The 22,485-nt window shown below is 53.1% G+C and overlaps 3 protein-coding genes and 1 long non-coding RNA gene across 18 annotated transcripts in view, besides 10 other annotated features; 3 read left to right on the top strand and 1 right to left on the bottom strand.

Moving 5' to 3' along the window:
* The window catches only part of CPLX1 (complexin 1), a 41,173-nt gene extending 38,804 nt beyond the window's left edge, over positions 1-2,369 (top strand). For both annotated transcript variants that reach the window (NM_006651.4, XM_011513391.2), the window contains one exon: positions 628-2,369. In NM_006651.4, the coding sequence (NP_006642.1) occupies positions 628-825 (198 nt within the window). In that variant the 3' untranslated portion in view covers positions 826-2,369. The remainder of the gene's footprint in view (positions 1-627) is intronic.
* Positions 1,344-2,215: an enhancer, noted in NCBI's record as "OCT4-NANOG-H3K27ac-H3K4me1 hESC enhancer chr4:778899-779770 (GRCh37/hg19 assembly coordinates)". NCBI's record gives its function as "activates a minimal SCP1, AML or CMV promoter by ChIP-STARR-seq in naive and primed H9 embryonic stem cells {active_cell/tissue: H9 hESC(naive and primed)}" and the evidence as "EXISTENCE:reporter gene assay evidence [ECO:0000049][PMID:30033119]".
* Positions 4,210-4,927: an enhancer, noted in NCBI's record as "H3K27ac-H3K4me1 hESC enhancer chr4:776187-776904 (GRCh37/hg19 assembly coordinates)". NCBI's record gives its function as "activates a minimal SCP1, AML or CMV promoter by ChIP-STARR-seq in naive H9 embryonic stem cells {active_cell/tissue: H9 hESC(naive)}" and the evidence as "EXISTENCE:reporter gene assay evidence [ECO:0000049][PMID:30033119]".
* Positions 4,928-5,644: an enhancer, noted in NCBI's record as "H3K27ac-H3K4me1 hESC enhancer chr4:775470-776186 (GRCh37/hg19 assembly coordinates)". NCBI's record gives its function as "activates a minimal SCP1, AML or CMV promoter by ChIP-STARR-seq in naive H9 embryonic stem cells {active_cell/tissue: H9 hESC(naive)}" and the evidence as "EXISTENCE:reporter gene assay evidence [ECO:0000049][PMID:30033119]".
* Positions 5,189-5,538: a silencer, noted in NCBI's record as "silent region_15109". NCBI's record gives its function as "represses an Ori minimal core promoter by ATAC-STARR-seq in GM12878 lymphoblastoid cells {active_cell/tissue: GM12878}" and the evidence as "EXISTENCE:reporter gene assay evidence [ECO:0000049][PMID:35858748]".
* Positions 5,477-22,485, top strand: part of PCGF3-AS1 (PCGF3 antisense RNA 1) — a 21,407-nt gene continuing 4,398 nt past the window's right edge. Inside the window, exons 1-2 of one of the 3 annotated variants that reach the window (NR_171661.1) lie at positions 5,477-5,554; positions 22,279-22,414. This is a non-coding gene — a long non-coding RNA (PCGF3 antisense RNA 1). Of the gene's footprint in view, positions 7,178-22,278; positions 22,415-22,485 lie in introns of those variants that run through there. The other 2 variants (NR_036512.1, NR_036511.1) reach the window with 2 other exon arrangements.
* The window catches only part of LOC124900163 (chloride intracellular channel protein 6-like), a 33,762-nt gene continuing 16,754 nt past the window's right edge, over positions 5,478-22,485 (top strand). For 2 of the 3 annotated variants that reach the window (XM_047416474.1, XM_047416472.1), the window contains exon 1: positions 5,478-5,554. The gene's annotated coding sequence lies outside the window, so the exon portion shown is untranslated. Of the gene's footprint in view, positions 5,555-22,278; positions 22,415-22,485 lie in introns of those variants that run through there. The other variant, XM_047416473.1, reaches the window with a different exon arrangement.
* Positions 5,639-5,718: a silencer, noted in NCBI's record as "silent region_15108". NCBI's record gives its function as "represses an Ori minimal core promoter by ATAC-STARR-seq in GM12878 lymphoblastoid cells {active_cell/tissue: GM12878}" and the evidence as "EXISTENCE:reporter gene assay evidence [ECO:0000049][PMID:35858748]".
* Positions 5,639-6,362: a biological region, named in NCBI's record as "H3K27ac hESC enhancer GRCh37_chr4:774752-775469".
* Positions 5,645-6,362: an enhancer, noted in NCBI's record as "H3K27ac hESC enhancer chr4:774752-775469 (GRCh37/hg19 assembly coordinates)". NCBI's record gives its function as "activates a minimal SCP1, AML or CMV promoter by ChIP-STARR-seq in primed H9 embryonic stem cells {active_cell/tissue: H9 hESC(primed)}" and the evidence as "EXISTENCE:reporter gene assay evidence [ECO:0000049][PMID:30033119]".
* The window catches only part of PCGF3 (polycomb group ring finger 3), a 64,258-nt gene continuing 59,009 nt past the window's right edge, over positions 17,237-22,485 (bottom strand). For all 10 annotated transcript variants that reach the window (NM_001395245.1, NM_001317836.3, NM_001395246.1 and 7 more), the window contains 2 exons: positions 22,262-22,342; positions 17,237-21,294 (listed from right to left, as the gene is read on the bottom strand). In NM_001395245.1, coding sequence (NP_001382174.1) covers positions 21,247-21,294; positions 22,262-22,342 — 129 coding nt within the window. In that variant the 3' untranslated portion in view covers positions 17,237-21,246. The remainder of the gene's footprint in view (positions 21,295-22,261; positions 22,343-22,485) is intronic.
* Positions 17,638-18,579: an enhancer, noted in NCBI's record as "H3K4me1 hESC enhancer chr4:762535-763476 (GRCh37/hg19 assembly coordinates)". NCBI's record gives its function as "activates a minimal SCP1, AML or CMV promoter by ChIP-STARR-seq in naive H9 embryonic stem cells {active_cell/tissue: H9 hESC(naive)}" and the evidence as "EXISTENCE:reporter gene assay evidence [ECO:0000049][PMID:30033119]".
* Positions 21,283-21,342: an enhancer, noted in NCBI's record as "active region_21134". NCBI's record gives its function as "activates an Ori minimal core promoter by ATAC-STARR-seq in GM12878 lymphoblastoid cells {active_cell/tissue: GM12878}" and the evidence as "EXISTENCE:reporter gene assay evidence [ECO:0000049][PMID:35858748]".
* Positions 21,432-21,979: an enhancer, noted in NCBI's record as "H3K4me1 hESC enhancer chr4:759135-759682 (GRCh37/hg19 assembly coordinates)". NCBI's record gives its function as "activates a minimal SCP1, AML or CMV promoter by ChIP-STARR-seq in naive H9 embryonic stem cells {active_cell/tissue: H9 hESC(naive)}" and the evidence as "EXISTENCE:reporter gene assay evidence [ECO:0000049][PMID:30033119]".

Genomic DNA, 22,485 nt, shown 5'->3' with positions numbered 1-22,485 from the left:
GTGAGGCCCAGGCATACTGGCTGAGGGCACGACTAGGCGGGATTCCAGGACACCCAGTGCCTGGAAGTGACCGCAGCCCAGGACCCTCTGCCGGCTGCCCACGGAGCTGCAGCGGCCTGCCAGGGAGTGGCCCTGCTGGGGCCGCGGCCGCATCCAGGCAGCCTTGGCCAGGCCCGGGAGTGTGAATGCAGGTCGTGGACCAGGCACTGGGCAGGAGGGTCAGCTGCGGGTTGACTGTTTCTCCCCACCTCTGCCACGCAGCATCCTGCCCACCCCTCCCTGCCCCGGGCCGGAGGCTTCCTGGAAGGCAGGATGCCAGGGGCTGGGCTGGGTTTGGAGCCAGAGGTGGGGCCACAGCCCTCTCTCCTCTCAAGGAAGATGGGAGCCTCCCCCTCCCTGCTCCCCCCCATGTCAGCTCCTGGCCCCCATTCTCCGTGGGGGCTTCCCATTCCTCCAGGGACCCCCCGGGGTGGGGTCTCTTCTCCTTCTGGGGTCCTTGTGTGCCTGGTGGGGTAGGGGGCCGCACCCACGCCTTCGGGGGTTCCTGGGCCAGTCCCTGGCGCAGGGAGGCTGCGGCCCGCCCGGGAGCCGCCGGGACCCCCGCCCTGACCCCCGCCTCCCCCGCAGTACGGCATCAAGAAGAAGGAGGAGCGCGAGGCCGAGGCCCAGGCCGCCATGGAGGCCAACTCCGAGGGGAGCTTGACGCGGCCCAAGAAGGCCATCCCGCCGGGCTGCGGGGACGAGGTGGAGGAGGAGGACGAGAGCATCCTGGACACCGTCATCAAGTACCTGCCCGGGCCGCTGCAGGACATGCTCAAGAAGTAGCCGCGCGCGGGACAGCGGCCCCGCGGAGCCCCCGCCCCTCCCCCTACAGATCCTCCGCGGAGGCCCCTGAGGGACGAGCAGAGCGCAGCCCCCACGCCGATATAAGCCATAGCCCCAGGCCCGCCCTGCCCGCGCCCGCCGCCTCCCTCACCCGGCAAGGGGCGCGCGCCCCCAGGACCCCCCCAGTCCGCCCCGTGCTCCTCTGCCCGCGGGTGGCTGGAGCCCCATCGCCTGGGACGCCCCTTTCTCTTGCTGTTTACCGCCCACCCAGCAGCGCCCGAGGCCAGGGCCGCCGAAGGGCAGCCCCGCGACCACCCCTGTGCGCGCGTTCGCGGCGGTGGGCGCCTGTCGGGCCCGCACTCAGGAGCACAGCCATAGCAGACGGGGGGCTGCGGGCGGGGCGAGGGCGGCGGGGCCTGGGTCCCCCTCCTGCACGCGGACTCCGGGGTTCGGATCGCTCCGCCGTGAGTATTTGCGTCCGCACGCGGCCGCTCTCCGCCCCCCGGCCTGGCCCCCTCGCGCCCCTGTCCATCCGTCTCTGTCCGCGTCCTTTCCTCTCCTCTCTGGAAGGTTTTGCTTCTTACGAACGCCACGGCCGTGTTCACTTCTAAACTAAAGGAAACAAAGCAATAGGTTTGGGGGACGCCCAGCCCCCACCCCCGTCACCCCGCTCTTCCCAAGTCCTCGCCCCCCGCCCGGCCTCCTAGCCTCTCCGCCCACGCGGCTGCTGCTTCTCCCTGGGGAGGACCCCTGCCCTCGGCCATTGAACACTGCACCCTCCACAGGAGCCGCAGAGGCCCGAGGCACCGGACGCTGGAGACCCTGCGCCCCTGCCCAGCACCTCCTCCGTGGGCAGCTCCTCGGGTGGGGCCTGCGGGGTTCCCTGCGCGCAGCTGGCGCGTGTGTGGCCTAATCCACCTGGTGGCCCTGCGGGGCGGCATCCGAGCCCCTGTTTCTCCTCCATTCATGTTTAATTTGCATCACAATTTGTTGAATCTCAGGTAAATGAGGTCTTTGCATTTAATGAGTTTTATCTTGACAGGCGCCGCCTCGCCCCCGGGCCCTTTCGTCCACATCAAAAATGCATCAAGTCTCCACGTGTTTCGGGCCAGGGCGTGGCTTGGCATTGACCTTCATGACCTTACATAGCTTTAGAGAAGCCATAACGTTAGACTGCAATACTAACGACCGACGCCCCTCCGGGCAGAGACCACCGCGCCCCTCTGCGCCCCAGCGACGCGGCCCGCGGGGACGTCGCTGTCCGTCCTGCTCGCCCTGTGCCCTCTCACTGACTTCTCCCGGGTCGTGTCTTTTAAAAACTCCTGTTTTCACACCTTACAAAGCCAGCTCTGAGCAGACAGGGCGTCCTCTCGTAGAACCTGCGCACCCCGTTCCCAGCGCATGGCGCCCCGGGCCGCGAGCTTAGCTTAGACCGTGGTGTCCTCTGTCCGTCTGTCCTGCGCCTGCGCCTCCTCCTGCATGTCGGGGCCCCTGCGTGTGTTCTCTCCGGATGGAATCACAGCCAATAAACACCAGTGATTTCACACCGTGTGGCCATTCCTTCCAGAGGTCCATTTCGCCAGCCGGAGGACCGGGGCTTTCCCCCGCGCATGTTCTCTCCACGGCGGCTGCAGGGCCTCCCACCATTCTCACTCAGCTCCATCCAGTCAGACCCATTTTCCCTAGGCCGTCCAGCCAGCGCAACCTCCATCTAAACACAAACCTGCGCCTTCAGGGTCTCCCGCCCCCCAGGGTGGTTCTTCCACCCGCAAAGCATCTGCCCTCTGCTCTCCCTCCCACCTAGGACCCCCGACCACAGGCCTGTCCCTCTCCTCAGCTCCACCGGGCCCAGGGCCCCAGGTCACCCTGTGCTGCCCTTACCTCGGCCCACCCAGGAATTCCTGCCCCCCAGCACCCCCGTGGGACTGTCCCTCCTCCTGAGTCCTGGACCCGGATCCCTGCAGGGAAATGTCTGCCAACCTGGGCTGAGGCCAGAAGAGGTTCCTGACCCCAACCCAGAGAACAGCCCCTCTGCCTGGTTGCTGGCGGTCCCGCCCACACTCAATCCGCTGGATGCGCAGCCCACGCCTAGCTGCTGCCTGCCACTTGCTTCCCCAGAAAGTCCTTGTTTGACCTCCAAGTTTGGAAGCTGTTAAAAGATGATTCTGGCCAGGTGCGGTGGTTCAGGCCAGGTGCGGTGGTTCAGGCCGGGCGCGGTGGCTCACGCCTGTCATCCCAGCACTTTGGGAGGACGAGGTGAGCGGATCACGAGGTCAGGAGATGGAGACTATTCTGGCTAACAAGGTGAAACCCCATTAATACTAAAACTACAAAAAAAAAAAAAAAAAAGCTGGGTGAGGTGGCAAGCAACTGTAGTCCTAGCTACTCGGGAGGCTGAGGCAGGAGAATCGCCTTGAACCTGGGAGTCAGAGGTTGCAGTGAGCCGAGATGACACCACTGCACTCCAGCCTGGGCGACAGAGCGAGACTCCCTCTCAAAAAAAAAAAAAGAAAAAAGAAAAGAAAAGATGGTCCCGTGACACTTGTTACAGCTGAGTGAGGAAGGCTTTATTCAGGACCAGCACTACAGGTACAGGGACCATGCAACAGGGCTTGCCATGGGTGCCAAGGAGCAGGGTGGGCTCAGTGGATGGAAAATGACTGAGGAACATCAGGGGTTGGGGGATTCTGATGAAACCCATCTAACTGGATTCTAGCTGGAGACAGGCAGGGCAATCAGACAGACCCATAGGGTGGTGAAGCATGAGGACCCCAATCAGATCTCCAGGATGAAGGTTTGTTGCTAAACTGACTTAGCCAGATTCTTTGCTAAAACTGCATTTTACAAGGAAGTGGGCCAATGGGCCTACCAGAAGATTCAGGAAGTTAACTAAAGTTTGACCACACAAAAAATCTTTGTCAGGAGCCCTCTCTAGGGAGCAGCATGTCTGGGTCTCCTGTAACCTTCCTGATGCTGCTGGCTGGGAATGCCCCAGGGAGCTGCCCAGTCCCAGGGCAGGAGGGCCCCATGTGCCCTGACCCCAGGCCGGGCCCTCCTGGATGCCAGGTGGGAGCTGGGAGGGAACGTGCTCTCCTCCAAGCCCAGGGAAGGGTGTATCCAGCTCCTCCTCCTGCTGCCTCTGGGGAAGTGTGCACCCCAGGCACCACCAAATTGCCCAGGGTGATCTCTCCTCTGCCAGCTGGCCCCCCTTCCTCCTGGAACAGAAACTCAGTGTCTTTGCACCCACCCCTGTGTCCGTGGCTGCTGCCAGCTGCCCCTCAACAGGGCACCCCAACATCCAGCCACTGCTCAGCCTCCATCCTCCCCCAGCCTCCCATTTCCCATCCACAGCCTGGTCTGGACCCCCTTGCAAGCCTAAGCAGCGACTTGGACGTGCCAGGTCACGACCCAGGCAGCTTTCCCTTGGAGTCTTTTTTTTTTGAGACAGAGTCTCTCTCTGTCCCCCAGGATGGAGTGCAGTGGTGCGATCTCGGCTCACTGCAAGCTCCGCTCCCAAGTTCACACCATTCTCCTGCCTCAGCCTCCCGAGTAGCTGGGACTACAGGCACCCGCCACCACGCCCGGCTAATTTTTTGTATTTTTAGTAGAGACGGGGTTTCACCGTGTTAGCCAGGATGGTCTGGATCTCCTGACCTGGTGATCCGCCCGCCTCGGCCTTCCGAAGTGCTGGGATTTCAGGCGTGAGCCACCGCACCCGGCTCCCTTGGAGTCTAGACGAGCCCTTCCTACAGCAATGAATGCTGGGTCAGACCTGAGCTTCTCCGGGATCCAGCTCTCATCTCAGGTGACGGGGTCTGAGGCCTCCTGGGAATGGCACTCCTCCCCAGATGTTTACTGAGCCCCTGTGATATGCGCTGCTCTGTTCTAGGGGCTGGGAATACTAGTCCCTCCCTCCTGGAACTGGTTTTCCTAGTGATGGAGGACAGATGATAAACATGGAAGTGGCGGTGTTTGCCCTGGAGGAAAATCAAGCAGGACAGGGAGCAGAGAGCAATGGTTAGGGTTACTATTTCATGAGTGGTCAGGGGGCCTCTCTGTCAGAGTGACGTGCACAGACCCGGAGGGAGGCGCGTGTCCCGTGGGAGAGCATTCTGGGCAGAGAACAGCCATTCGAGAGCCAGGAGGCAGCGCTGCCTGGGTGCCACCAGCGTGGCCCTGGCCCCATGCACTGGCTGGGCACCACCCTGCCCCCGGAGTCTCCTCCTTCTGAACGTTTGACTGTATCTTGAACACAGCGGGGCCGGCTTTCAAGCTCCAGACACGGCCTCCTCCCCAGGCCAGGAAGCCCTGTCAGGCAGCAGATCCGGCCCCCTCAGCAGATCGGCCCCTCCAGAAGACCCGCCCCTCACAGCAGATCCGGCCTTCCCAGCAGACCCGCCCCCCGAGTAGATCCGCCCCTCCAGGATATCCATCTCCCCAGCAGATCCGTCCTCTCCAGCAGAACCGCCCCCAGCGGAGCCGCTCGGGCGGGGCCTCCGGGCCTGGGGAAGGGAGCGGGGACCGGGCCGTGGAAGGACCGCGCCCGCCCCTGGCCAGCCTGAGCCAATCAGCGCATGCTAGGTGGGCCGACATGATTGGCTCCTAGAGGCTCACGTGTGGAGGCCTGACCAATCAGAGCCCGAGAGACGCCATTGCAAGCCTCTGCAGAGGCGCTGGAGCTGGGTCAGTCCGCCGCTCACCCCGCGGCCGCACCTTCCCGCCTTCTCAGGTAACTAAGTGCGGGTCTCGGGCCTGGCAGAAGCTTCTTCGGCCCCGTGCCCTCGCCTGGCCCCGCCCCGTCGGTTGTGTGCTTGTCTCGTCCTGCCCCCAGGCCCTGCCGGTCCCCACCGTTAGGCCGGCGTCCCTGCCCGGCCCCGCTGCGGGCTGGCGCCAGCTCAGGAGGACGCCCCGAAGCCGAGGCCTCGGAAGCAGGTTTTTCCCAGACCTTCTCCTGTCCCGCGTTCCCCCTAGGCCGGCCGTAGGGACCAGACCCCACCCTAAGCCCATAGCCGGCCTTCGCGCTCCGGGTGACCCTGGCTGGCCCTGTTTGTCTGTGGGTCCTGGGATGCGCCACTCCCGGCAGGAAGGGGCGCCGCCGAGGCCCGGTCTCAGCCTGGAACCCCGCTCCTGCCGTCGGGGCGCTTTCTGCGGCTGCCCACACACGACCCCAGGCAAGGGGTGGGGGCGCGGGACCCTCCATGACATGGCGGCGGGGCGCTCTCACTTCTTTGAAACCAGCGTAAACTGGACCCGCCCCACCTCCCATACCTTGGGGGAGCCCCGGGAAAGGCTGTGGCCTGGGGGTCTGCAGGGCGTTGGCAGTGGAGGTGGGGAGAGACCCCAGCCCTTTCCTGTCCCCCCCACCAGCCTTGCCTTCCTCGCCGTGAGCCGGGGACAGTGGAGGGGAGTCAGGGAGGGCCCACCAGATGGACTTTCTTGTGACTCATCCTATAAAGCCCCTCGGGCTTAGCCACCCTCCCCAGGACCCGTGTGGTCTCCCGGACTGTGCTGGAAGCTTAGAGCCAGAATGACTTTTCCACCCTCGGGCTGGCTGGCTCAGTGGGCAGCAGGGACAGGGGGCTGTGAAGAGAAAACTCACTCGCCAGGGTCAGGGGCCGCTTGCTCACTGAGGAAAGCAGAGGGGTTCCTGCCGCTTGCCTCAGGAACAAAGCTAGTTGGTGAGGCACTGCCTTGCAGTTGTAGGAGAGGAATAATGGCCCCCGTGGGTGCTTGGTTGGAACGATTAAAGGAGAATAACAGTTTAGCACGATTATTTCACACAGTTGTTCAAAGAGATGGCTTTGAATTCCAGCTTACATGGCGTCTTCAACAAAAAGTAATTGTTTAGAGAAGTGACAAGATGAAGGAGGACTCTGAGTCCTAGTCTCCCTCCTCGAGTCCCTGTGTGAGCAGAGGTAAACAATGAAAACTCACCAACCAGGAGAAATTCACCTAGGACTGGCGCAGAAGGTATACACCATGAGCCTGGAAATGATTTAAAAAACAACACAGGCTGGGCGCGGTGGCTCACACCTATAATCCCAGCACTTTGGGAGGCAGAGGCGGGCGGATCACTTGAGGTTTGCGAGTTGGAAACCAGTCTGACCAACGTGGAGAAACCCCGTCTTTACTAAAAATACAAAATTAGCCAGGTGTGGTGGCGCATGTCTGTAATCCCAGCTACTGGGGAAGCTGAGGCAGGAGAATCCCTTGAACCTGAGAGATGGAGGTTGATGTGAGCTGAGATCACACAATTGCAGTCCAGCCTGGGCAGCAAGAGTGAAACTCCATCTCAAAAAAACAAAAAAAACAACCCACAACTGTGGGCCAAAGGGACACAGCGACAAGGGGTCCCAATGGGCGAGGCTGGAATAACTTGAATAGCAGAATAAAGTAGCATTGGATTATAATGCACAGGGCTGAAGAAATATCGATGAGTCTTTGCTGATGTAATAAGTGACTGAATGAGCTGGGCAGAGTGGGACCTGTAGTTCAGCTACTCAGAGGCTGAGGTGGGAGCATCAGTTGAGCCCAGGAGTCAAGGCCTAGTAATATCCCATTTCCAAAATAAAAGACTGAATTAATAAATAGATGGGAGAGAGGAGACAATTGACCATGCAGGAGGAGTCCAAATATTTGTTCTTTGAGGCAGGATCTTCCTCTGTCATTCAGAAGGCTGGAGTGCAATGGTGCGCTGTTGCCTTGCTGCAGCCTGGACCTCCTGGGCTCAGGCAGTTGTCCCACCTCAGCCTCCCAAGTAGCTGGGACCAGAGGCATGCACATCCAGCCGAGTCCAAATAGTGTATGCAGATATGCCCTCACAGAGGTGACCTGAACTTTCTGAGTTGTGAGTGAGCTTCACCTGGGGACCTCCTTTTAGGTAGCAGGGAAAAAGAGGAGGGTGAGCCACACCCAGGCACCTCCTTCCAGAGAGCATGTGCCTCAGCCTCCAGAGTAGCTGGGATTGCAGACATGTGCCACCAGCCCGACTAATTTTTGTATTTTTAGTCGATACGGGGGGGTCTCACTATGTTGCCCAGGCTGGTCTTGAACTCCTGGGTTCAGGTGATCTTCCCACTTCAGCCTCCCAAAGTGCTGGGATTACAGGTGAGATAAAACTTCCTTATTCACAGACTACATGATTGTCTATATAGAGAACACTCATCTAAAGCAACAGCAATGATTGCCACAAAGACCCTCGTAGAGCCAGTAAGTGAGTTTGGAATGTTCACCAGTAACACATACAAATTAATCTTAGGGCTGCGTGCAGTGGCTCATGCCTGTAATCCCAGCACTTTGGGAGGCTGAGGCCGAGGCTGGTGGATGGCCTAAGGTCAGGAGTTTGAGACCAGCTGACCAACATGGTGAAACCCTGTGTCTACTAAAAATAGGAAAACTATCCAGGCATGGTGGCGGGCACTGTAATCCCAGCTACTCAGGAGGCTGAGGCAGGAGAATCGCTTGAATCCGGGAAGCAGAGGCTGCAGTGAGCCGAGATCGCACCATTGCACTCCAGCCTGAGCAACAAGAGTGGAACTCTGTCTCAAAAAAAATAAAAGACCCGGTGTGGTGGCTCATGCCTGTAATCCCAACGCTCTTTGGGAGGCTGAGGCAGGCGTATCACCAGGTCAGGAGTTGGAGATCAGCCTGACCAACATGGTGAAACCCTGTCTCTACTAAAAATACAAAAATTAGCCGGGTGTGGTGGCACACACCTGTAATCGCAGCTACTCAGGAGGCTGAGACAGGAGAATTGCTTGAACCTGGGAGGCAGAGGTTGCAGTGAGCTGAGATCATGCCACATTTGAACCCGTGAGGCAGACGTTGCAGTGAGCCGAGATCATGTCACTGCACTCCAGCCTGGGCAACAGAGCCAGACTGTCTCAAAAAAAAAAAAAAAATCTTACTTCTATAGACAATAAAACATTGGAAACTGAAGTTAAAAACACAGTAGCTCCTGAGAGAGAGAGAGAGGTATAAATCTAACAAGACAAAACAGGATCTGTATGCTAAAAAGACTATGTATGTGGAGAGACGGCACACAGCACGCTCATAGACTGGAAGACTGAACATAAGATGCCAGTCTCAGAAGGATCTGTGAAATTAACAAAATTCCAAAACATTGCAGTAGGACTCTTTTTAGATTTAGAAAAGATGATTTTAAAATGTATACAGAATGGTGAAGGAGCTAGCTAAAACAGTAAAAAGGATAGATAAAACAATGTTTTAAAAAGAACAAAAAAGTTAGATGAATCACATTACACAGTTTTAACAGACTTTAAAGCCACAAAAATCAAGACTGTCGTATTGGCAAAGAACAGACAGATGGGTCAGTGATCAGAGAGTCTAGAAACAGACCCACATAAATAGGGCCATTTGATCTTTGACAGCAGTGCAAACAAAAGCAACCCTGTGGAGAAAGGATTGTCCATTCAACAGAGCAGTGGGGCAGTTGGTCATCCATATGGTAGAAATGGAACCTTGGCCTAAACCTCACATTGTACACAATTAACTCCAATCATATGTAAACGTAAAACAAAACTATAAAATGTTTGGAAGAAAACAGAAAAATACCTTTGTACCTGATGACATTTGGTAGAGTTCTTAGACATGATCCCAAAGGCATAATCCACAGAAGAATCCATAAAAGAAAAATTTGTAAATTGGACTTTATCAAAATTAAAAACTTACTTTTTTGAGATAGGGTCATGCTGTGTTGTCCAGGCTGGAGTGTGGTGGTAAGTCATAGTTCACTGCAGCCTCGACCTCCCGGGCTCAAGCCATCTTCCTTCCTCAGCCTCCTGAGTAGCTGGGACTAGAGGTGCAAGCCACTATTCCTGGTTTTAAAAATTTTTTCCAGAGTCTGAGTCTTGCTGTATTGCCCAGGCTGGTCTCAAATTCCTAGCCTTAAGTGATCCTTCCACCTTCGGCCCCAAAGTAGTTGAGATTACAGGCATGAGCCACCGTGCCTGACCTAAAAACGTTTGAACTACCAAAGACAGTGTGAAAAGAATGAAAAGATGAGGAGAAAATATTCACAAATCACCTGTCAACTAAGGACCTGTATTTGGAATACACAGAGAACTCTTAAAACTCAACAGTAAGAAAACAGTCCAACTAAAAAGTGGAAAAGACCTGATCAGACATGCACCAGCAATGACACAGCATTGACTGTTGGGCACAGGAGAAGAGGCTTGACACCACCAGCCACCAGGAAATGCAGATTCAGCCACCACGCAGGACACGAGGCACCTGCACCACAGCCGCAGTGCAAGAGAATGCTGGTGGTGCCCCAAGCTGCCAGGGTGTGGACCTGCTGGAAATGGAAGACGGCATGGTGGTTTCCTATAAAGTTCAATGTACACAGCCACATGACCCAGCAATCCCACTGTTGGGTATTTAGAGAATGAAAAACTTAAGTCCACATAAAAACTGTACGTAAATGTTTACTGATGCCTTATTCATAATCATCAAAAGCTGAAATTCAAATGCCTTTCATTGGGTGAACTGGTAAACTGTGGTATATCTATGCAGTGAAATACTCCTCTGCAGTGACAATGGGGAGAGACTGACACATTGGGCACCATGGGGGTGGGAAGAGGTGAAGGAAGGTTGGGGGAAGGCGCCGTGGTCAGGTGTGGCACTAAGGAGATTTGGGGGTGGAGCCATTCTGTGTGTGGACTGTGGTGGTGGTCGCGTGACTGTACATGTGTTAAAGCTTCAAACAAAAAAGTTAAAAATTTTAGTTTAAAATATTAAAACATTTTTAAAAATGGACACGTATTCCTGAATTTTTTTTTTTTTGAGATGGAGTTTTGCTCTTCTTGTCCAGGCTAGAGTGCAGTGGCGCCATCTCGGCTCACCACAACCTCTGCCTCCCGGGTTCAAGCAATTCTCCTGCCTCCTGAGTAGCTGGGATTACAGGCATGTGCCACCATGCCTGGCTAATTTTCTATTTTTTTTAATAGAGACGGGGTTTCTCCATGTTGGTCAAGCTGGTCTCGAACTCCTGACCTCAGGTAATCCACCTGCCTCAGCCTCCCAAAGTGTTGGGATTACAGGTGTGAGCCACTGCCCCCGGCATTCCTGATTTTTAATAAGCTGTAACAGAAGATAATTTCTCTATTTGGTAAATGGTATTTGTCAAAACCCTGCAGCAATCATGCTTAAGTCAAGATATTTAAAGTATTCCCATTAAAGTCAGACAAGCACAGTTCTCCTTGCTATCACTGTGAGTGTTTTCCAGACATCCCAGCAGGGTGAGAGAACTGAAAAAGAGGGAAGGAGATGAATATTGGAGACAGGGTTTAGTAGTTTGTTGATGATACAATCATCTGCATGTAAATCCAAGAAAATCCCCTGAGGAACCCTGAGGACCAGCCGAGGAGTTCAGTCCGTGCCAGATCCAGTGGGTTTCTCTACTCCACAATAACCCATCGGAGCATGAGCCACAACCCTCCACCTCCATATGAAAGAATCACAAAAGCTGGAAGAGAAGTGTGTAAGGACCGCCTGAGGAAGATGCTAAAAGAGGGTGAGTTGGCAGACATGCCACATCGTGGGTGAAGGATGTCAGCTGCCCCACAAAGTAAACTGTACATTCATTGCAATCCTAGTTAAATTCTGATGAGATTAAATGACACAGGATAAGCTGCTTCTGGAGCTGATCTAACAGAAGAAAAGCCAACATTAAAAAAAAGGCTGGGTGAGGTGGCTCACGCCTGTAATCCCAACACTTTGGGAGGCTGAAGCAGGCGGATCATTTGTGTTGAGGAATGTCATTTGTGGTCAGCCTGGCCAGCATGGTGAAACCCATCTCTACTAAAAATACAAAAATTAGGTGGGTGTGGTGGTGGGTGCCTGTAATCCCAGCTACTTGGGAAGCTGAGACAGGAGAATTGCTTAGGCCTGGGAGGTGGAGGTTGGTGGTGAGCTGAGATTGCTCCACTGCATTCCAGCCTGGGTGACAGAATGGTACTCTCTCTTTCACACACACACAGACACACACAAAATAAAGAAAAAGGGCTGGCGTGGAGGCTCCTGCCATAATCCCAGCACTTTGGGAAACCGAGGTGGGCAGATTGCTTGAGTTCAGTTCGAGACGAGCCTGGGCAACATGGCAAAACCCCATCTCTACAAAAATAAAAAATTAGCTGGGTGTGGTGGTGCCTGTAGTCCCAGCTACTCTGGAGGGTGAGGTGGGAGTATGGCTTGAGGCCAGGAGCCCGAGGTTACAGTGAGCCATGATTGCACCACTGCACTCTGGCCTGGGTGACAGAGTGAGGCCCTGTCTCCAAAAAAAGAAAAAAAACCCCACACCATAAAGGGGGTCCTACTGTGTCCGGAATTGGTGGGTTCTTGGTCTCACTGACTTCAAGAATGAAGCCGAGGGCCCTCGTAGTGAGTGTTACAGCTCTTAAAGGTGGCGTGTCTGGAGTTTGTTCCTTCTGATGTTCGGATGTGTTTGGAGTTTCTTCCTTCTGGTGGGTCTGTGGTCTCGCTGGCTCAGGAGTGAAGCTGCAGACCTTCGTGGTGAGTGTTACGGCTCTTAAGGTGGTGCGTCTGGAGTTGTTCATTCTTCCCACTGGGTTCGTGGTCTCGATGGCTCAGGAGTGAAGCTGTGGACTTTCGCGGTGAGTGTTACGGCTCTTAAGGTGCTGTGTCTGGAGTTGTTCATTCTTCCCACTGGGTTCATGGTCTCGATGGCTCAGGAGTGAAGCTGCAGACCTTCGTGGTGAGTGTTACGGCTCTTAAGGTGGCGCGTCTGGAGTTGTTCATTCTTCCCACTGGGTCCGTGGTCTCGATGGCTCAGGAGTGAAGCTGCAGACCTTCGTGGTGAGTCTTAACAGCTCTTAAGGTTTCGCGTCTGGAGTTATTCATTCTTCCCACTGCGTCTGTGGTCTCGATGGCTCAGGAGTGAAGCTGCAGACCTTCACGATGAGTGTTACAGCTTTTAAGGCGGCGCGTCTGGAGTTGTTCATTCTTCCCACTGGGTTCGTGGTCTCGATGGCTTCAGGAGTGAAGCTGCAGACCTTTGCGGTGTTACAGCTCATAAAGGCAGTGTGGACCCAAAGAGTGAGCAGCAGCAAGATTTATTGCAAAGAGCAAAAGAACAAAGCTTCCACAGTGTGGAAGGGGACAGGACCAGGTTGCCACTGCTGGCTCGGGCAGCCTGCTTTTATTCTCTTATCTGGCCCCACCCACATCCTGCTGATTGGTCCATTTTACAGAGAGCTGATTGGTCCATTTTACAGAGAGCTGATTGGTCCGTTTTTGACAGGGTGCTGATTGGTGCTTTTACAATTCCTGAGCTAGACACAAAAGATCTCTACGTCCCCACCAGGGTAGCTAGATACAGAGTGTCGATTGGTGCATTCACAAACCCTGAGCTAGACACAGCGTGCTGATTGGTGTGTTTACAAACCTTGAGCTAGATACAGAGTGCCGATTGGTGTATTTACAATCCCTTAGCTAGACATAAAGCTTCTCCCAAGTCCCCACCAGACTCAGGAGCCCAGCTGGCTTCACCCAGTGGATCCTGCGCTGGGGCTGCAGGTGGAGCTGCCTGCCAGTCTTGTGCTGTGCGCCTGCACTCCTCAGCCCTTGGGTGGTCGATGGGACTGGGTGCCGTGGAGCACGGGGCAGTGCTCGTCGGGGAGGCTGGGGCCACATAGGAGCCCATGGAAGGGGTGGGAGGCTCAGGCGTGGTGGGCTGCAGGTCCCGAGCCCTGCCCTGCCCTGCAGGGAGGCAGCTAAGGCCCAGCGAGAAATTGAGCACAGCAGCTGCTGGCCCAGGTGCTAAGCCCCTCACTGCCCGGGGCCAGCAGAGCCGGTCGGCTGGCCGCTCTGAGTGCAGGGCCTGCCGAGCCCACGCCCACCCGGAACTCTTGCTGGCCTGCAAGCCTGCCCACATCCCTGGTTCCCACCCGCGTCTGTCTCTCCATCCACACCTCCCTGCAAGCTGAGGGAGCCGGCTCTGGCCTTGGCCAGCCCAGAAAGGGGCTCCCACAGTGCAGCGGCGGGCTGAAGGGCTCCTCAAGGGCAGCCAGAGTGGGTGCCAAGGCCAAGGAGGTGCCGAGAGCAAGCGAGGGCTGAGAGGGCTGCCAGCACACTGTCACCTCTCACTACCAGACCCGAGCAGAGCTGTGGACAACACAGTATGGGAATTAAGCAGGTGAGATGACCAGAGTCCTCACTGGCACTAGAAGATGGCAGCCCAGGAGAAAGCTACCAGCCAGAGCGAGGCCTGCCAGAGATAGCCACATCTCCTCTCAGAGAATGGGGGTGATGAGGCCCTGCAGGCCAATCTGCCCTGTGCTGTGGGGCAGAGGAAGCTGTGGGACTGGACAACTCCAACATTCACAGTTGTGGCACCAGCTGCAGGTGAGAAATGTGAGGAGGGACCCTGCCCCCTCAACCTCTGAGGGGCCCTGGCAGACTGGGGGCTGTCGCCACCTGAGGGTTCCCAGCCTTCCTACAAGGCAGTGTGCATGGTGATGACTGAAGTCTCGGGGTAATCTCCCAGCAAGAGGTCAGGTCCTGGTTGTGCGTCCCAGGGTGTCAGTGAAATTGGCTGCTCCCCTGACCCAGGGCACCTTCATGCGTCTTCACAGCAGGACTACTGTGACCAAGGCCAGACCTTTCATCTTTCAAAAGACTTTGACTAAAAATGCTTTAAAAAAGCAACCTTCGGCTGGACGCGCTGGCTCACGCCTGTAATCCCAGCACTTTGGGAGGCCGAGGCGGGCGGATCACCAGAGGTTGGGAGTTAGAAACCAGCCCAGCCAACGTGGTGAAACCCCGTCTCTACTAAAAACAAAAATTAGCCTGGCGTGGTGGCAGGTGCCTGTAATCCAGTTACTTGGGAGGCTGAGGCAGGAGAATCGCTTGAACCCAGGAGGCAGAGGTTGCAGTGAGCCGAGATCACACCACTGCCCTCCAGTCTGGGTGACACAGTGAGACTCTGTCTACACACACACACACACACACACACACACACACAAAGAAAAAACATAGGAATAAATGTAGTGGTCAAATGGTTGTTTGTCCAACGTCGACAGGAGTCTTATCCCTTGAGCAGGCCACACCTTCCCCAGGAATTGGCGTGGGCAGACACTCTGGGGTGGGCGGGGTGGGCCCAGGGGAGCATCTCCTTCCTCACAATTGGAGCATAAGCCACCAAAAAAAATGAAACAAATGTGCTTTGTGTACTTTCCTTGACTGAGGAGTAATGTGGGTAAGAGAAAGGACTCTTTGCTTATTTATGGATTTAGGACTCTGTGCTGATTTATGTAAGCACAGTTGCATTTCTGTGTAAGCGGAAGACAGATAATTCTTTCTATTAAAGGGGACGTTCAGTGTAGCTACTGCAGAGCACCGTCAGGACACAGGCCTCCCAACCAATGCAGGCTCAGCCCTCCACAGCCCCTCAGGAGGGACTCAGTGCATCTCAAGGGAGTTTTATCCTTAAAAACTAGAAGCCATATGGACATCTACTTTGGGAGGATTTGGTGGGCCTCAGGGGCCTCTAGCAGCAGAAGGCCCTGGCTTCCTGAACGCAGACGGTGCGGGTCTCATCACAGCAAACCCCCTTGTTTTTCTGTTCCTCTGCTGCCTTTCAGGGGACACTGTTTGGCTTTCACCCGGTCACAGGTGTACTAACACACATGACTAACACAGGATTTTTGTCTTATGCACACAGAACTGCATGGGAGAAACAAAACCACCAGCGAGCAGAGAGGCCGAGGCTTGGCTCTGCTGTGAGAGCGTCAAGGTCCCTGCAGCCCTGAGCTGCTGCAGAACCCACAGGAACCAACTTCCAGAGCTTGTTTCTGGGGTCCTGGTGCAGGGACCCCACCCACTGTGCTCAGATGGAGCTTGAAGCTCTCAGACCTCAGGCTCCCGTGGCTGCTATCACCAGGCTTCATGGCCCAGTCCCCAAAGTGGGTGGACCCAATTTTGAGGACTTGTGTTTCCCCTACTCCCTGCAGTTGACGCTGACATCAGTGTCTGCTTGTGGTTTCAGCCAGTATCTTGACATTTCTAAGATGGACAGATGGACTGGCCGAAAATAAGTAAAATACACTTTGAGTCAGTGAAGTCTTTTTTTTTTTTTTTTTTTTTTTTTGAGATGGAGTCTCGCTCTGTCGCCCAGGCTGGAGTGCAGTGGTGCGATCTCGGCTCACTGCAACCTCTGCCTCCCGGGTTCAAGTGATTCTCCTGCCTCAGTCTCCTGAGTAGCTGGGACTACAGGTGCGTGCCATCAGGCCTGGCTAATTTTCGTATTTTTAGTAGACATGGGGTTTCACCATGCTGGCCAGGATGGTCTCGATCTCTTGACCTTGTGATCCACCCGCCTCAGCTTCCAAAGTGCTGGGATTACAGGCATGAACCACTGCACCCCGCCAAGTCCTTTTTTTTTTTTTTTTTTTTTTTTTTTTAAATTGAGATGGAGTCTTGCTCTGTAGCACAGGCTGGAGTACAGTGGCGTGATCTCGGCTCACTGCAACCTCTGCCTCTTGTGTTCCAGCGATTCGCCTGCTTCAGCCTCCTGAGTAGCTGGGACTACAGGCCCCTGCCACCACACCCGGCTAATTTTTATATTTTTTAGTAGAGACGGGATTTCACCATGTTAGCCAGGCTGGTCTCGAACTCCCGACTTCAGATGATCAGCCTGCCTTGGCCTCCTACGGTGCTGGAATTACAGGTGTGAGCCACTATGCCCAGCCTAAGTCAATTAAGTCAAGTCTAAGACTGAACCTATTTTTAAAGTTTACTGCTTTAGGTTGTGAGAATATAATTTTGGCCATTCTCCTTTCCTTCCAATTCTGGTTCTCTTAAGAGTTTCAGAATTGTTGTATTTTACTTAACCTTTAAAAACTGAAATTTTGGCCATAGTGCTTTTTTTGGGGAGGGGCAGCAAATTGTCGTAGGGAGATGGAACATTCATTTGTCAGTTGACACACCTATGGGAATCAGTAAGTTCTTTTTTAGCCGTATTTTCCTTGGCATAACCAGCTCCAAACTGCAGCAACCTCTTTCTGCAAGGAGACAAACTGAGCTTTACAAAGTTTGTGGCCTAAACTCTGGTAGCAAATGCTGGACCAATTTAAATGAGGGTTTGCAAGCAGGGTGACAGTTTACAAATGCCGCCTGAAGCAAATCGAGACATTGGTTAACCTGGGAGTGGGGAGGGCTGGGGTGAGGAAGGGAGCCGTGGGCTGGTGTGTGGACATATGTGCAGGCATGTGGTCTGAGCGTACACATATGTAGCATGCATGTGTGTGTGTGCGGCCAGGCTGCCTGAGTGGTCCATCCAATACCCACAGCATTGCTCATCCCATGAGCAAGTCATCTCTCATGCTCATACAAATGATTTATGTAATACATTTCCAGCCAGAAACACTTTCACTTAAGCTTTTCTTTTGCTTTTATTACAAGCATATAATATTAATTGGCAAAACACTGAATACAAGCTTCACTATCATAAAATCAAAACATTTAAGCAATATTCCAAAAAAGATTTGACAAAAACTAGCCACCAAGAGTACAAAAATTACACACCAACACAAAGCATAAAAAATGTAAACTTTCAAATTAAACAGTCAAACACATGTATCTTCGTGATCACCTCCACACCTCGACTGCCTTCGTCTGCCGTACGCTGCTGGTAAAGGCTGGGTGGCTGCACTGTCTTCCCCAACCCAACATTGCTTTCGTCTGGGAAAATGCGTCTGATAGGCAATTAAGCCATGGGAGTGGACATTTACACGGAGGCTACGCACATCTCAGGGGAACGCTCAAACTGCAGCTCGTTCCTCAGACGCACTGTTGGGTGCGAAGGACACCTGGAGGGTGAGGGAGACCTCGGCGCGTTCCTGCAGGGCCTTGGCCACGTGGCCATTGCCCGCACCCTGTCCCGTACAAATTATGGTATCATTTGAATGATTTTCTAATCTACTTATCTCAATTTATGTATTTAAATGTCAAGGCAGAGAAATACATTGATCATGTTAAGGTCATGTGATGTGGTGGCGCAGTAATGACTTCCTGAGGAAACAGAGAAATTGGATGTTTTGTGATTTAGCTATGTGCACTAAACTTATTTTCCATGTTTTGAGAGCACATTAAACATTCACGTACAACGTGGGACTAGGTTGGCTTGTACCCAGAACGTCCAACCCAATGCCACCCTTTGAATCGCTGTGAACACTGTTCTGTTGCTGTTCAGAGAAAACAAGCAAGGCTGCGAAGCCCGGGGGTGCAGGCAGCTGCAGTGCTTGGGCCAGGGCAGCTCCGCTCTTGTGGTCTGAGGCCACATGGCCCTGCCCAGGGGCAGCCTGGCCACAAGCACGTGGGGTCCAAGGCACCAGGACCCAGGCAGGACTGAGGTGGCCCCACAGCGTGGCCCGAGGCATCACTGGCTGACGGGCACTCACACACAACCCCAATAACAGCATTCTCACAATAATAACAATGAAAAACGAAAAACCAAACAGCTGAATGTACATATTTTGGAATTCCATCTATGTTCCCTTTCAATTTAGCAAAATAAATGCTACATTACCATTTAAACAGATGTCTAATAAATGCATATTGGAACCTATTGCACAAAAGCATAAAAAATGCTCTTCATCCACATAAAAACATACAAATTAAAAGCTACTCAAAGTAAAAAGAAGCTTGCAAAACATCTCACAATTTCATTTTATATGCCTGTAAATAAAGCTGGACCACTGAAACCAAACAATTGGATGGGAAAATATGATAGAAGGCTTAAAATAGAATAAATAATTTTATAAAGTTAAGTTTTCTTTTTTAACCCCCCAAATCTTAAATTCAATATTATATATTCTATTTGAATTTTCTATGTCCATGAAAACTGCATCGGTGAGACCGTATTCCGGGTAATTAGCCCCACTGCTGTTGAAAACGACGCATAAGGTGATTTAACAGCATTTGTTTTACCAGCATAAATAGTTGTGAAAACTTCTTCACAGTAACTCCATCTGTTTAAAAAAAAAAAACCAATAGAATCCAACCACTAACCGATCCTGGCTTTCATGCTGGAAAAAATGAAATTCAGCCTTTTTCTGTGAAATGAGAGGTTGACAGAAAGGAAAGAAGGCCGCCCAGAGGCTCCACAGACGGCAGGGCCATTGCGCTCCAGCCTCCAACGACTAAGGCTGCAAGGTCAGACGAGAGGCAGAGGCCCCAGGGCCGAGTCCTGTAGTGAAGACTGTCTGCACGATGAACTCCTAGAAAAATAGGGACTTCTGCTGCTGAGGTTTTGTCAGGTTAACGCGGTTACAAAAGCAGGGTCACCACTGGCTGAAGACATCGACACGGGCGCCACTCGCCCGTCTGTGTATTTAAATCTATCAGCTTAGCACCATTGCAAAGTCAAGTGATTTCAAAGATAGCTACAAAGTTACAAATATATATTATGAGATTATTACAATGATATTCAGTTTCATCTGAACTGTGATTTAATTTTATTTGAATTTGGAGGCTTGTAACTGTTTAATCCTTTCTTATTCCGCCACACAGGAAAATGCCTAAGTTCTAACGTTACACTTAAAACTGCACTGTGATAACACACGGTTGTACAGAATGCTTCAGCAGTATGTGTATTTTGAGGTAGACAGGTAATATTTATTCATACACAGCTACTCATAGACCCTTATACAGTGACTCTAGAAAATGATTTGGATGAATAGCAAGCTTAGGTAACTGAGTAACTCAAACCGTCCTGGGAGTTGATGGGCTTAAAGAAAGAGATGAATTTTGACCAATTCCTAACAAAGAACTTGCTTTTGTTTTAAAAGGCCTTACACTGACAATCACTCAGATGGAATTAATATGCATGTTTTTCTCATCCCTAAGATAAGGTCTCTTGAGCTGCTTTTTATCTAAAGGAAGCAGAAGAAAACAGCGAAATTCAAGAAAAAAAATCTCCAAGGTGGTTGGCTTCTTGGAAAGCCTGAATGGTGGCCAAGGACCACCTGGGCTCCCAAGGAGTGGAGGGAGGAGGGATTCAGTTCCACAGGAAATAAATGGGAACAGCCCGGTGGAGAAGACAATGACAACTGCAGGACAACACCTCAACCACTCCAGAAAACAGCCCTTGCTCCTCCTTCTGGCCTTTTCATATTTCCAAGTTACTGTTTTAAAGGAAAAAAAAAAATGTGTGTGTGGCTGTTTATTCTCTAATGTGACAAAAACATGACCATCCGGGAGGAGAGGGGCTAACGGTGCAACCAACTGAGGCTGAAACACAGATTCAGCTGAAATGCAGCTTCTGCAGAGCGGGGGCCGGCTTCCCTCCTAGCCCTTCAGCTGCTCACCCTGTCCCTGCAGCTCTGAAAAACGCCCTTCCAGTAAGCGGCCAAGGAGCACACGAGCTCCTCCCACCAGCAAAGGGGAAGGGGAGGCCTTGGACAGACGGGGCAGTGAGTGTGTCTGGGCATGAGCCCGAAGCCACCACCAGCAAATCCTCCCCACGGATGCCAGGAGAGCTCTGATCCTAACCACCACCACCTCTCCCTTCAGCAAAATCAAAACAGGGAAAGAAAACATAGGAAACCAAACGGCGGCACTCAACAATTTGGGGGAACAAGTAATTTTTAAAAGTAAGAGTTGTTCCGTAAACCAGCACTGAGCTGGTCACACGGCCTCTGGTCTACCTGCTGAGCATGTCAGAAATCCCGACGTGGCGTCTGGGGCCCCGTTTCCAGGGCTGGGTGTGTCAGCCACAGGTGAGCGACAGTTCTGAGTGAGTCCAAGTGCCGACCTCACACAATGAAAGGCGAACCAGTCAGGGAGCTGCTGTTGTGTTTCATAAGGTGGGAAATTAAATACAATGGTTAAATCATAATGTTAATGGAAACCTCTTTTGGTTTGCTTTTAAATTAATTTTTTATATAACTTCTAAATCTTCAAGAAGCTAAAGGCAACATAAATATTGTCATTCACCATGAAAAGACATTTTTTCAATAACTTAGGAAGGATTCAATAAAAGTCCAACTACACTTGAGGCTTATCATGAAACCTAAAATTCATAAACTAAACTGAAGTGAATTCAGATTTTCAAGACCTGGAAAGCAAGCAGAGGGAGCTCGTGTCAGAAGGTGACTCAGAACCGTGTTGCCTGGAGCATCACTCTCCCTGCAAGGCTGAAGCACGGGGTGGGGCGGGGGAGAGGACGATCGGCTCTGGGAGACTGTGAAGTGTTTTCATCCTCTGTAAACGTGGTGCTGGTAGTGTCTTGTTGAGTGTGAATTCTCTCTCATACAAAAGTTATAAATATTCTCTATTCAGAAGTCTGGTCCACATGACACCCAGAGGCAATGTTCTTAAGCGCGGCGGCCGGGAGCACCCAAGGGTGCGAGGGCCCAGTCTGTGGGCGCTGTGTGGCACCATTCACAGCAAGTCCATCTTGGGTCTGTAGTGCAGCAGGAGCGGCGCCTTCTGGAAGACACAAGAACGCACAGTGCCTGCTTAGCAGGGGTGGAGGCGAGAAGGACCTACTTCATCGGGAAGGGTGCTGAGGAATCACGTCCCGTGAGGCACAGTCCACATGCAGGGCTGCACAGAGACCCTTCTGTTCTGAGCAACAGAAGGGTCCCCCAGAAGTTGCTGGGGGAAGACGGGCTAGGAAGACATGTGCCCTCTCCCCTGGCCCCAGGTGACCCAGTGACCACTGTGCACACCGTGGTGGCCACCTGTACCTGATGTGGCCCTGGCTGCCACTCCCCTGCCCCCTTCTCCCTCAAACCCTCTGGCCCAGCCCCAGGCCAGCCTTGGCTCCTCCCCCTCTCCCCAGGCAGCAACACCAGCTGAGGTGGGAGAGTTCCACCATTGGTTTCCTGCTTCAGAGGGGCCCAAAGGCCCCAGGGGACCCTCTGCTCATGGCACTCATGGCCTCAGCACTTTCCCACCAGGGCCTGTGCCCTTCGCAGCTCAGCTGGCACCTTCCAAGCTGGCTCTGGGGTTGATGATTTCAGAAAGACCAGAACTGTGTTTCACAACAATTTCTGTAGCTGAGTCATCACTTTTTTTTTTTTTTTGAGACAGAGTCTCCCTCTGTCGCCTAGGTTGGAGTGCAGTGGCACGATCTTGGCTCACTGCAAGCTTCGTCTCCCGGGTTCACACCATTCTCCTGCCTCAGCCTCCTGAGTAGCTGAGACTACAGGTGCCCACCACTACGCCTGGCTAATTTTTTGTATTTTTAGTAGAGATTGGGTTTCACCATGTTAGCCAGGATTGTCTGGATCTCCTGACCTCGTGATCCGCCCGCCTCGTCCTCCCAAAGTGCTGGGATTACAGGCATGAGCCACTGCACCCAGCTGGAGTCATTTAACATTTTAGATAAGAGATGCACAGCAAAGTCACTGCCATTCAGAGCAGACTCTGAAAATCAAATCACGTGTCTCACCTTGAATCTCCACCTAGTGACAACCACGAACTTGAGTGTGTGGTCCTTGCCCAGGATCTCCTCGTTGCATAAAATGTCCAGCTGGGGGATAAGGAGGTTTGATTAGCAGCGGAGAGGTGCTCAACCCACACTGACATGGCCACCTTGATGCTGGTATGAAATCTGCAGCCCCTCCCCAATCATGCAAGAACGTGCCTAGAGATGGGGTGGGGGGGGCTGGTTCA

Source organism: Homo sapiens, chromosome 4, assembly GCF_000001405.40.
Source record: "Homo sapiens chromosome 4, GRCh38.p14 Primary Assembly".
NCBI classification, from domain to species: domain Eukaryota; kingdom Metazoa; phylum Chordata; class Mammalia; order Primates; family Hominidae; genus Homo; species Homo sapiens.
This window is presented reverse-complemented; position numbering and strand designations above follow the sequence as displayed.